The 14,044-nt window shown below is 38.6% G+C and overlaps 1 protein-coding gene across 10 annotated transcripts in view; it reads right to left on the bottom strand.

Annotated features, from left to right (window-relative positions):
* The window catches only part of CCDC83 (coiled-coil domain containing 83), a 64,948-nt gene that overhangs the window by 44,831 nt on the left and 6,073 nt on the right, over nt 1–14,044 (bottom strand). For all 10 annotated transcript variants that reach the window (XM_011544839.3, NM_173556.5, XM_011544842.2 and 7 more), the window contains exons 2-3: nt 9,965–10,087; nt 1,888–1,972 (exon numbers count right to left, since the gene is read on the bottom strand). In XM_011544839.3, the coding sequence (XP_011543141.1) occupies nt 1,888–1,972; nt 9,965–10,059 (180 nt within the window). In that variant the 5' untranslated portion in view covers nt 10,060–10,087. The remainder of the gene's footprint in view (nt 1–1,887; nt 1,973–9,964; nt 10,088–14,044) is intronic.

The following is a 14,044-nucleotide window of genomic DNA, read 5'->3' as shown; positions in this document are numbered from 1 at the left end:
TTTTTGCATGCTCAGAAACCAATCAGCACACAGTCTCTACTCTGAACCCATAAAAATCCCTGGGCTCAGCCATATTGGGAACTTTCCTGCCTTTGGGTAGGGGGACCACCCCTGCATCCCCTCCCTGCTAAAAGCTGTTTCATCACTCAATAAAACTTCCCGCCTTGCTCACTCTTCGCATGTCTGCATGCCTACCTCTTCCTGGTTGTGAGTCAAGAACCCAGACCTAGCTGAGCTAAGGAGCAAAAAATCCTCCATCAGCAGCTGGAGACAAGGTTTGAGAGGTGAACAGGGGTCAGATTTTGAAGGGCGCTGAAGACTTTAGTAAAGACGATAGATTTTATTTTCTGTGCAATAGGAAGCCACTGAAGGATGTTAAGAGATGAGAGGTAAAGTTTAAGGACTAAGAAGAGTCTATTAGACCTGGCAAATTAGTCATTAATAACTTTTGCTAGAGCAGTCGTGGTAGAATAGTAGGAATGAAAGAATGGACCTGGTTTACAATATTCAAAAGGTAATTTGGTTGCACTGTGGAAAATGTACTTTGAGGGAAGGATGAGTAAGAGATGGTGGTTTAAATTACAGCAATAACAACATAAAAGGAAAGAAATGGATGATATTCAGATACAGAGTTGTAGTTAGAATCTGTCTTTCCTTGCTCCTCACTGCTGGGTCCACTAATGTGCATTCTTGAGCCAATCTTCATGGAAACAAGAACTTTAACTATTTCTGGCTCCAAATGATGGGCTAAGGGGAAAATGATTACTCAATCCTGATTTGTTTTACTTTCCACAACCAAGTCCTGATCTACAAGTCCCTGTGCTGATCACTGGAGGATGTGCATGGGTGCATCGATGGGACTTACTTCTCTTTAGTGCTCTGGATCTCATGTGGAGCCTGCATTCAGGCACCAGGCCAAACTGAGCTTCTGTTTTAGTCCCTATTACAAGTGAATGAACCTTAAGAATCGTGATAGTGTCAGAGTCACAGTTATATTACTGGCTTGTCTTATCCACTAAATATGTACTGAATGAACAAATAAATTAGCCCTATGGGGGAGACAGGAATCCCCATTTTACAAGAGTGAAATTGAGGCTCATACCAAATCTGACCAAAATGACATCAGCAGTAAGCTGTACAGTCAGGATGCAAACTCAGGTCTCTGACTCCAGGCTCTACTAAAATTTGTAGATATATTCTTTTTAGACAGAAGCCAAAATAAAACAGTTAGCTGTGAAAGTTTCAGGGCCCATATAAAATAAATGTGTTAAAAGGGGGCACTCTCAGTATTTCATCATTCATGAGATACCTTGAGGGATAAATTGTGTTAATTATCATTGATTGCTCCCAAACTTTATTTCTGTTGATCTTTAGTCCCGATAGTCATATATAGCACCTTTTTGATATTCATTTTAATCTGATTTTATAAAAACAGTATATCATCTTAAATATGCAATTACTAATTTTAACAACTGAGATTGTGCTTTTCAAATGGTATTTACATACGCATACTCTCTGAAAATCTAAAAGAAAAAAGACAAAGAGATTTAAAATGGAGAACCAATGTTTTATGGTTTGGTTAAATAAAAAGTCAAAAGATAAATGTGGTTTCAAAACTTTAAAATTTTGAAGTTAAGATTCAGTGTCTTCAGGGTCTAAATAACATAATTCAACCCAACTTCCACTGACATTATAACTAATATAATGGGAACAGCAGTATCCTTCTGCCTCACATGTATAAAGAAACTTAAATAGATTGTAAATCAATCAATTCCAAGCTTTGAAGAAGATAATTTCCTAGAGTATATTTCACCATAATCCACAATTTTTTAAAGCATGAGTGTAAATATTTAATGACTATATATAGGTTCTAAATTTTATACTCACTCTTTCATGATATTTTTGGTTCTTTTTCCTAAGTGTCTTTATTTGAAACATGAATTGCTCCACGGCATCTTCCTTTATTTGACATCTGAGAATCAACAAAGATAAAATGTGTTAGAATCATTTATCTTAGGAAATGAGAAAAAATTTAAAAGGTATTTGAAGTGAATTATTAAATGTATTATGAAAACACATTTAGGGATAAAAACCTTTCCTAAACGGTTTTGTGTTTCTGAATCTATTTTACTCACTAAAATATATATTGGAGAGAAAACTTCAAAGTTGTTTGTTTTTTTTTGAAAAAAAAATCCCTGTTCATGTTTTATAGTCATAATTTTATACTTTCTAATTGTTTATAAATAATTTAGCCTAAAGGAAAACTAGGAGTGGGCATACAGAAAACATGCTTTCTAGAATTCTAAAAACATTTAGACAAAAACGACGAACAAATCTAAGACTTTATAAGGGCAAGCACACCTTCTTGAAATACTAAGGTAAACTAGGCATGCCTATTGGTTCAAGTTCATTAGTGTGCCATCTCTTCTACAAATAATAAAAACTTCTTTCCTGGCACAAATACATTTCTTTAACACTCAACAAGTATTTGTTGAGTGTCTGTAAGGTATGAAAGAGAGATAGAAAAGTGCAGAAAGACTTTCTTATAGGCTATTTGATAGCTATTTGAGGTGTTAAGTATAGTGTATCTCTTTAAACATGTGCCAGGCATGGTGGCTCACACCTGTAATCCCAGCACTCTGGGAGGCCGTGGCAGGTGGATCTGGGTTTTTGTTGTTGTTGTTGTTGTTGTTGTTTTGAGATGGAATCTCGCTCTGTCGCCCAGGCTGGAGTGCAGTTGCATGTTCTCGGCTGACTGCAACCTCTGCCTCCTGGGTTCAAGCGATTGTCCTGCCTCAGCCTCCCGAGTAACTGGGATTATAGGCGCCTGCCCCCACACCCGGCTAATTTTTCTATTTTTTGTAGAGACGGAGTTTCACCATGTTGGCCAGGCTGGTCTCAAACTCCTGACCTCAAGTGATCTGCCCGCTTCGGGCTCTCAAAGTGCTGGGGTTACAGGTGTGAGCCACCGTGCCCGGCCAGCAGGTGGATCTCTTGAGGACAGGAGTTCCAGACCAGGCTGGCCAACATGGCAAAACCCTGTCCCTACTAGAAATACAAAAATTAGCCAGGTGTGGAGGTGAATGCCTGTAGTTCTAGCTACTCGGGAGGCTGAGGCATGAGAATCGCTTGAACCCAGGAGGCGGAGGTTGCAGCAAACCAAGATCATGCCACTGCACTCCAGCCTGGGTGACAGAGTGAGATGCAGTCTTAAAGTAAATAAATAAAATAATTTTTAAAACTTTATAGTATATCTTGTATCACTATAACCTAATAAATCTTATAACTTTAAATCTGAGACCAAAATAAGGCAACAGAAGTGTGTTACCTAAACCCTTTGGCTCAATTAAAAACAAAATAAAACAAAAACAGAAATATAGTACCTCTGTAGTAGAGTGAAGAGTAGTTAAAGAATGAGAAACTCTGGTTTTAAGTCTTGCCCTTATCACTTCTTGTCTACATGATCTCAGGCAAGTCAATTCCCTGGGCCTAAATGTCCAAGCAGTCAAATGGGATAAAAATACCTAGCTCTGCATATTATCGTAAGGATTAAAATAAGAAATCATATGTGAATGTTTCTAGCATAAAATAAATGCTTAGTAAATTTCAGTTGAATTAAACCTTATATCCTTAGCCCTTTCCCCCAAACATCAATTATATTTGTGACATTGTATACTCATTAGAGAGAAAAACTAGGCTCTTTCTTTCCCAATAATGAGAAAATGCAACATTAAAAAAAAATCCTTTACTGGTCAAAAAAAAGCTCGTTTGGATACTATGAAACTTGAATTTTAGAGCTGGTTTTCCAGTTCTCTAAGGATATTTAACCTCCAGAAATAAGAGGATTGATGGAGATGAACTCTATGCTTCCTTTTCAGTTACAAAATTCTGCAATTTAAATGGACCAATATTCCCTTTCAAACAGTCATACATACAATGTAGATTTAAAGAGCTGAAAGGTGCCCAGCATTGTTTTAGGCATTATAGAGATTGTTTGTTTGTTTGTTTGTTTTTTTGAAATAGAGTCTTGCTCTGTCACCTAGGCTGGAGTGCAGCAGCATGATCTCGGCTCACTGCAAACTCCCCCTCCCAGGTTCAAGCGCTTGTCCCACCTCAGCCTCCCCAGTAACTGGGATTACAGGCACACGCCACCACACCCAGCTAATTTTTGAATTTTTTGCAGAGACGAGGTTTCACCATGTTGGCCAGGCTGGTCTTGAAATCCTGGTCTCAAGTGATCCACCTGCCTCAGCCTCCCGAAGTGCTAGGATTATAGGCATGAGCCACTGCGCCTGGCCTACAGAGATAATTTTGAACAACACCTTCATGATCCTTGCCTTCAAGGAGTACCTTTTACTGGATAATAAGAAGTAAACACATAAACATATTGAAACATATTGTTTACACATTATGATAAATACCATGGGGAAAATAACAGGATATAAGAAGGACCATAAATGGAGGGGACTACTATAGTAGATAGGGCAGCCTCCACAAAATAATAAGAAAATAAGGCTCTGTGCTGCCCAGGCTGGGCTTGAACTCCTGGGCTCAAGGAATCCTCCAGCCTCAGCCTCCCAAGTAGCTGGGGTTACAGATGTGCACCACGACACTTGGCTCATCTTTGACTTCTTACCTAAAGCTTACATTTGTGCAAAAATTTTGAAGGAGTGCCTTTTCTACCTCCCGTTTTTCAGGAGATTAAAAAAAAAGTATTATAAATGAAAATTATCTGAAAAGAACCTATGCAAATGTGCAAATTACTGACATAATTTCTGCAGTTATAAATCTATTAATACTACTTCTTTACATGGGTAGAGCAGGCAAATGAATCTCAAGATGTGGTCTTCATTGGTTAAACTGAGTCTACAGATGGGCTCGTTAATAGACCAATTCCCTGGCTGCAGCTGAGAGCTTTCCTTGGTGATGACTGAGCATGCAACGATTGGGCTGGAGACCATGTGCAGCCCCAGCCCCATTGCATGGGTCATATTTATACTAAGCAAATTATTTGCTGTTTATCTGAAACTCATATTTAATTGGGCATCGTTTATTTCTATTTGCTACAACTGGCATCCCCACACTTAAGCCCACCACCCCTCCCTCAGAGCATTTAGGAGCAAATGGCCTCAGGCTTTGTCTCTTGTCCATTTGTGGAGTGAGCAGTTCAGGATGATGTGAGTGGCAGCAGCAGGCCTCAGTGGGGAATTCTGAGATGCCCTAAATGCTTTGGCAGCTTCACTGGCCCGCTTGTGGAGCTTATGGTAGCTGTGGGTCTAATTTAGCTGAGCCTGTCTTTGAAAGCCACTTCAGCCTTCTCTGGCTTCATGAAAAGGTGTGTTTTACCAGGAAGCAGATGAAGCTTAACTTCAGAACTCAACACTATTATGGGGACTTCAAGCATCATTGTTCCTTATACACTTTTTTCCTTTTTAATATCTCCCCCATCTACTCAGTGCCCTAGAATCTGACATGTCACACTAGGTGCTGAAGCAAGTGGGGTGATAATAAAGCAATATACATTAAAGCAGTTTGAAAAGGTTATGGCACTATTCTAAAGCACAGTGATATTAAATTGTTAGTAAGACAATATGTCACCTTTCCCCCACTCTCTATATTGTTAAAATGTTAGTAATGTGTCAATGTTCCCCCCACCCATGCAATTTCATTGAAAATTCTGGGAAGGAAAACAAATAAATTTGAATTCCAAAAAAACTATATTTTTGTGTTTTTTTCTTTAAACCTATAACCATACCCACATGTTTTTATATCTCTATCCATATTCATTGTAGAAAACTGGGAGACAACAAGTATAAAGGAGAAAATAAAAACTACCGTTACTTAGAGATGATCACTTTATAGATTTAGTATTGGTTTATAGATTTAGTATCAGTTCTTCACAAACAACCATAGAAGTTCATGACCTTATGTTCCGGGAAAGAGTTCCTATATCCATGAAATTACCTGATAAAAGGGCAGGATTGCTTTGTTACAAATGTTTTCAGAATATTTGAACAATTTATACTCACCAGTGGGTAAGAAAGAGCTTGTTTATTGGTGGGCATTTCATCACTGAGTGTTAGTACGTTAAAAAATTTGTTTCCTGTATCAACAGGCAAAAATAACATTGTATTTGTTTTCATGAGTGTGATTTTGCTTTCAGACAAGATCCGACAACATTTACTCAACAAAGAAACTCTGAGCTCATACTATAAGGCTGTGCTAGATACTAGAGGTACAGAGATGAGTAAAGAATAGTCTTCAAGGAGCTCACAGTTTGTTGAGGGAGAATGAAGCACACATGACCTGCCATATTTTTTCCTTCACCTCAAATATTCTAACTGCCTTATTCATATAAAAACACAAATCTGGGCTGGGCGCAGTGGCTCACGCCTGTAATCCTAACATTTCAGGAGGTTGAGGTGGGCTGATCCCTTGAGCCCAGGAGTTTGAGACCAGCCTGGTCAACATAGGGAGACCCTGTCTCTATAAAAATAAACAAACATGGCTAACACCTGTAATCCCAGCACTTTGGGAGGCTCCCAGCACTTTGGGAGGCCAAGGCAGGAGGCCAAGATCAGGAGTTCAAGACCAGCCTGGCCAACATGGCAAAACCCCATCTCTACTAAAAACACAAAAAATTAGCTGGGTGTGGTGGCACATGCCTGTAATTCCAGCTACTGGGGAGGCTGAGGTGGGAGAATTGCTTGAATCCAGGAGGCGGGGGTTGTAGTGAGCCGAGATCATGCCACTGCACTCCAGCCTGGGTGACAGAGTGAGACTCTTGTCTCAAAAACAAACAAATCACTGATCCAAATAAACTTGACTTTCAAAAAAATCTATATCATAATCTCCATTTTTTCACTCACGACCATATTCTCACCCGTTTCTATATCTATATCCATACTTATTGTAGAAAACGGGGGGCAAGACAAGTATAAAGGAGAAAATAAAAACCATCATTATTCAGAGACGATAATTTTATAGACTGAACATTGGTAGTATCAGCTCTTCACAAACAACCATAGAAGTTCATGACTTTCTTTTCTTGGGATAAATTTGAAAAAAGTTCAGTTGCTCAAAAACCATGAATTAACTATCTACTATGTGCTCACTGCTTTGTTAGGAGCTGAGAGAGATATAAGAGGCGCCAGGGAACTCCTGGACAATCCTTCCTCAGATGGTGAGAGGAAATGTCTTGGCTATGTGTCATGTGACAACAGTTCTGTCACCGAGGAACACATGGAATGCATAAACTGTCATCAGTAGAGCATGGTACAGCAAGGCCTTGGCTGTTCCAGTCCATGAGATTATTTATTTAGTTTTACCAAATACAAAAGAACAAGGGTATGAGATGTTCAGTTTATAACTTGCACTAGATCATGAGAATTTTTAAACGTTTGCCTTTTTGTAAACCTTTGTTAAAGAGGAGAAAGACTGGTTTCTGGTCCACCCAAAAGAGAGAAAAACAGCTGTTAACTGGATGTCACCAGTTACACCATGGGAGCAAATTAGAGACCAGGTTACATTCACAGAGCTTGGCTTTTTGTCCACCTCTCCTAAGATGAGATGAACAAAGTTTTCAGTTATGTTGAGAAATGAGTATGAATAGTATCTAGTTATTAGTTAATGTTATTTCAAGTAGAAAATAAAAGGAAACAGGTGAAAGCCTCTTCTCTCTTGGTGTTCTGATCCCTTCACTCAATCCTAAAAAGTTCATACGAATATATTGGGATCTCCAAAGAAGGAGACAGATTTTCCCTGAATGTTGTTAAGGACAACATACATCTTTTATGGTACATTTTTTAAAATAAATCCTTCTTTTAGATTTTAAAATCTAAAATCCTTCTTGGCCAGGTGAGGTGGCTCATGCCTGAAATCCCAGCACTTTGGGAGGCTGAGGCAGGAGGATCGCTTGAGGCCAGGAGTTTAAGACCCAGCTCTACCCAAAATTAAAAAATTAGCTGGGCCTGGTGGTGTATGCCTGTCTTCCCAGCTACTCAGAAATCTGAGGCAGGAGGAACACTTGAGCCCAGGAGTTTGATACTGCAATGAGCTATAATCAGGCTACTACACTCCAGCCTGGGTGACAGAGTGAGACTCTGTCTTTAAACAACAACAACTCTCTTAAACAAAGACCTAGTCACTAGCATCATGGGCTCTCCATCTTCAACTTTATACTCCTCTAATAAAAACCCAAGTGTTCTTCTTGATCTGACCCTTGCCTAAATCACCAGCATCTGCTCTTGCCCTGCCTCCCTCACCCTCCCTTTTCTCAGTTTCTGGCCTGTGATAAGCTCTTTCCTACCCTCCTGTCTTCCATAAGTCATGCTCTTCACTGCTCTGAGTTTCCATAATGCCTGTTCCTTTTCCAGAAATCAGCTCAAAGCTTTCTCAAACAAGTTTTTCCTAACTCCTCTGACTAAAGTCCTTTAGTTACACTGTTAAACAGCACCCTACAGTTTTCTTTTATAGTACCTTTATTATAGCCATGTTTTTTTCTGTTTTTTTTTTTTGTTTTGTTTTTTTGAGACAGGGTCCCTCTCTGTCACCAAGGCTGGAGTGCAGTGACACAATCATGGCTCACTGTAACCTTGACCTCCCTGGGCTCAGGCAATCCTCCCGTCTCCACCTCCTAAATAGCAGGGACTAATTTTTATTTTGTAAAGATGAGTTTTCATCATGTTACTCAGGCTGATCTCAAACTCCTGGGCTCATCCACCTGCCTTGGCCTCTCAAAGGGCTGGGATTATAGGCATGAGCCACCATACCACCCTGTCATTTTTTTTAAAGCTCAAATTAGTGGTTTATTGTCTGTCTCCCATGCTTCATCAAGGCAGGGACCATGTGGTCCTGTTTGCTGCTACATTCCAGTACCCAGCACTTGACTTGCACTTGGTAAACACCCAAGTATTTATTGAATAAGTACATGAATGAAGTATATTTCAGCCTTATGCAAGAAAAGACTAACACTTATCTATTAATTCTGTAAGAATTACAAGTTAAAACACTTACCTTGTGCCAAAAGCTAAGGTTCACAGACCCTCAAGGAGCTATTTGTTGGAATAAAACATAAATATGGAATAAATGTTACCCATGGTTTTGTCTCCAGCTCCTAGGAGTGAGACATTATAAAATTTTATTATTATTAAAAAGAATTTTCTGTAAATCATTTGGATTTGATATGTAGCCATTTAGGAATAATGTAAGTTGGAATGTCTAAGAAATAAAAGGTCACATAAAGGGAAAATTTCTCTTCCATTCTCTCTTTTTTTTTTTTTTTCGAGATGGAACCTCAATGGAATCTTGCTCTGTTGCCCAGGCTGGAGTGCAGTGGCATGATCTTGGCTCACTGCAACGTCTGCCTCCTGGGTTTGAGCAATTCTCCTGCCTCAGTCTCCCGAGAAGCTGGGATTACAGGCACGCGCCACCATGCCCGACTAATTTTTGGATTTTTAGTGGAGACCTGGTTTCACCATGTTGGTCAGGCTGGTCTCGAACTCCCAACCTCAGGTGATCCGCCTGCTTTGGTCTCCCAAAGGGCTGGGAATACAGGTGTGAGCCACCATGCCCGGCCTCTTCTACTCTCTATAAATGTAAACTAACCATTCTGTGTTGTATTTTAAGAGGTAAGCTAGCAAGCTGTTGTATACATAGGTGAGAGTAACCAATAAACAACTGAAGGAGCCAATAGTACATCAATGAAAGCTGTTTCATAGCAGCTCTCATTTCATTTCATAAAATAGTCTAAGTAGTCATAGCTACTACTTGGACTATGTTATATTCAAAGTTTCAAAAACCTTTAAAAATATGTGCATAGCACAAGAGTGCAATTAGGCCTCCAAACCCACCTCTATTCTTTTGGCAGCTGCTGCATGTATTGTTTGCATTTGCAGTTATATGAGTCTTAACAATGACTGCCTTTTATCTATGGCAACTTTCAGATTTCAGAATAAAAACTTACTGATAGTCTAGAAGTGCTTCACTGGTAGGCAGTTTAATTTCTTTTGGTGGCCCGTCATGTGTATCCTTTTTATTTGCTTTCCCTGAGTTTTCCATTGTGCTGGTTAGCTATGAAGAAATATACCTGTTTAGAAAGGAGACATACGAAAGTGAAAAATTCCATCTTTGCCTCCCTACTTTTGTTTACTCTAGATAAGGTACCTCTGGGACTTAATACTGGCTTTCTATCCTGATTGCTTCCATGTCCCCAGATCTAACATTCACCACAATGGTGGAACATCATGAAATGATTGGATTCTTGATTCTGGTGAATTCCATGTTTAGCCCATGTATAGCATTCCCTCCACCCAAAACTTTCTAAGAGACTCCCTCTCTTATGTTATTCATCTATATCTGTTGCCCGTATCTAGGTCTTTTAAGAGCAAAGAACTGAGCTTTTCAATAATTTTATTTCTCCACAGTGTTTGGCAGAGAGACATTAATTAAATGTCTATTAATTTTTCAAAGAAAATGAAAACAAAACTACAATTTTCTATGAGCACGAAGAAGCTAGGATCCAAAAGACTTAAGAATTAGAATCAGGATCCAAAAAAATTAGGTTTGGGCAGGGTTGTTACAAACAGCAAATAAAAGCACACATTGAAGTACTTTTAAAATGGTTGAGATTTACACATGCGAATAATAATAATGTACTAATAACTGCTCATCAGCTATTAACTGGTTTCATACCTAATAATAAAAAAATCAAAAACACCTTTTAAAAGGGAAAATCAAGACCCACTGTTCACAGATGTTTATAGTAAGCAGGAGTACTTTCATAGGTTTGGTTTGGGTACTAAAGTAGACTTTTCAGATTATAGTCTTCCTTAACACATTTTTATCTTTTAATTTCCACTAATCTTAAAAGAATAAGTACCTAGCCTTAAATAAATGTATCAGTAGTTAAGTGTGGTAGAAAGCATAAAATATAACCTTTGTAATTATTTAAGTGGCTGGAAACTCTCATGAGGGTGAGGATAATGTAATTCTTGTGCACCACTGTATTTCCTCACTAAGCACAATAGACACACAATAAATGCTTGTCAGATAAACACATGAGTGGATGCATGAACGAATCAGGCAGACATGGGCTTTAATCCTAGATCCATCACTGTTATCTCTGTGACCCTGAATAGGTTACTTAATCTTTTTGAGGAACTTCAGTTGCATCATCTGTCAAGGGAGAAGGATAACAATTCTACTCTAAGAGCTATTGTAAGGATTAAATAAGCTAATATTTAAAGCACCTAGCATAGTGTCTGAGATATAGAAAAAGGGCATATATCTCTAGCTCTATCTCTGTATAGTGCCCCTTCCTCTTTCCCTTCAGTTGTTGCTCCAGGTCAAGCTTCTTCAAATTCTGGGTAACTAAAGCATAGAATGGCTGCCTTCTGCAAGTACGATGATGCGTGGAAAGACTAATCCATAAGGTTTGCTGTTGTCAACCTTCATTGATTTGGATCACTGAATTGGCAATCCACATAGATCTTTGTAGACCATTCAGCTCCAAAGTGGAGAAACTTGTTAATATGAAAACACGCTTTTTCTCTGTAGACATGCTGCCTGCACACTCAGACTTCCAGTCAGGCTGTCTTTATGTCTGTGACTTTTCTAACCAAGTTTGCACTACTCTGTATGCTAACTAATTTGAGCATATACATGAATGCAAATATACCACAATACTTTCCAACTGAAAAGCACACAGATGACACAACAAAAAGATCTAATACATTAGTACATTAAGTAGTGTCTTCTCAAATATGAAAGTATTGAGAATAATTTAATAGGCTCCCACCAAAAGGTGTCATCATGATACCACCACAGTTCACAGAAAATTATCAGCTAAGAGAAGATTACTCTTTGTTTCAGATGCAGAGTTGAATTTTTATATTATTTTCCATTTTAGAATTAGAATTTTAAACTTGGCTGTTGCACAAAAAGCATACTAACAAATGTTTCATTTTAAAACAATAACTTACCATTTAGTAATAATTTTTACTATAAAATATTTAAAAGTTAAAACCAATGCCAACATTAATCTCTTTCTAAGTCATATGGAAGAGATCAAGTGTTACGGTTTTTACCTGTGGTACCCATCTGGTGCTGGAGGAAAAATGACCTCATCCTGCTCAATTACCTTAGTTACCTGGCTTTTATGTTTTTAACTCTCTGACTAATGTATAATTACTTACCTAACTGCAGCTTATGGCAAAGGATTTTAATAAAATATGAGTGAAAATGTGGACCCATTAAAGCACAAATGCTTTATACATAAACTCTATTAAGATTCATTGTTTCACACACTTTAAGAAAATTAGTAAGCCAATTGGACTGTCTGCTTAATAGCTGCATTTTTCCAATGGGCTAATGATAGTACCTCAACATCTATTTTTGCATTTGATAATGTGCTATAAATCATGGGGACTTTCATAAACATTTACAAGGATTCACAGTTCCTGACCACCCAGAAGATTTCTCTCAGTAAAGGGTGAGAATCCTAGAAAAATATTCACAAAGTAAAAGCAATTATCTTCCAGGAAGGTTACACTTAGAATATCTGACAAATAGACGTCGAATCTGTCAGTAACTACAAACATCTATTCAATGCCTGCTCTGTGCATGGTGCTTTACCTGGCCCCCAATTATAAAGTATAGATGAGGCAAGACCCTTCTCAGACAGATAGGAAGACAGAAGCACACTGCAGCAGAACTTTAAAAAAATGAGCAGCTTTAAAATTCATTGCAAAATCATGCAGATAATGCTAGGGAGATCTTCATCCAGCATGTGACCTCCCTTTTGTGGCCATGTGTGTTTTCCTCTCCCGACTGTGTCTGAGGTCTCTAAAACATACACCGTGATGTAAGGACAGGTGAGCATCCTGGGTTTGAAAGACTCAGGACTCCAGCCAACCTTTCCAGAATCTACTCCATCATTTTCTGTCATAAAATCTTGCAATAAATATTTCCCAAACGCCTCTCAGTGAAAAGCCAGAAGTTTATTTACTAAAAATGGACATATCACAATCATTTTTTTCATATGTAGTTATCCCATACTGCTTTGGCTCTGCAAAGTTACCTATAGAACACACAGTGTATCCCTTCCTGCACTATCTCAGCATCCTGGCTCAGTATCTAGAAAGCTTAAAATAAATGACTCTCTTTTTTTTTTTTTTTTTTTTTTTAATGAGACAGGGTCTGGCTCCGTCGCCCAAGCTAAAAATGCAGGGTCATTCCAACTTCTGCCTCCCAGGTGCAAGTCATCCTCCCACATCACCTCCAGAGTAGCTGGGATTACAGGCGCATGCTACCATGCCTGGCTAATTTTTTAATTTTTTGTAAAGAGGGGGTTTTGCCATGTTTCTCAGGATGGTCTTGAACTCCTGAGCTCAAGGGATCCACCCACTTTGGCCTCCCAAAGTGCTAGGATTACAGGCATGAGCCACCGCACTTGGCCCAAAATGACTATTTTAATGACTTTGTGAAGGCGTGAATATCCAGAAGCCTCCCAATGACTCCTTTCCTAATTCTGTGGAGGCTGGGAGGGATGGCAGTTCTGCCCTAATACCTTTCTGGACATATAAAATGGAGTTTGAGGTTTGATAGCTAATGTTTTACATACAATGTAGATTAAAATGAAAGATATTTACTTAACAGCATTAGCAATGACAGAAGTTCAGAATAAGATTCCATCAAGGCATGAGTGCATGATATAAAAGATCTCTATTTGGGTGCTAGGAGTCTTGAAGTCTAGTTGTGGCTCAGCCATTAACTAGCTAGAAACTGAGCCATTAACTGCATGGTTTTGAACTGCAGTTCCCAAATTATACTGGATTCTCAGCTATAAACTGTAAGGCTAATAAAAGTAATAGTAGTAGTAGTAATGCAGTACTTCCAAAAGCCTTATTAAAGAGCAATCTAACTTAGAAGGCACATACCTCACTATAATGTTAATTGCAAAGCTGAAATACATATTCAAAACCATTCATGGTACTCATCTTCAACAAAATACAATTCCTTTAATGCCAGTGACACCTAACTACTT

The sequence above is a fragment of the Homo sapiens genome, chromosome 11 (assembly GCF_000001405.40).
Source record: "Homo sapiens chromosome 11, GRCh38.p14 Primary Assembly".
Taxonomy (NCBI): Eukaryota; Metazoa; Chordata; class Mammalia; order Primates; family Hominidae; genus Homo; species Homo sapiens.
Note: the sequence above shows the minus strand (reverse complement) of the source record. Positions and strands in the feature narration are given on the sequence as shown.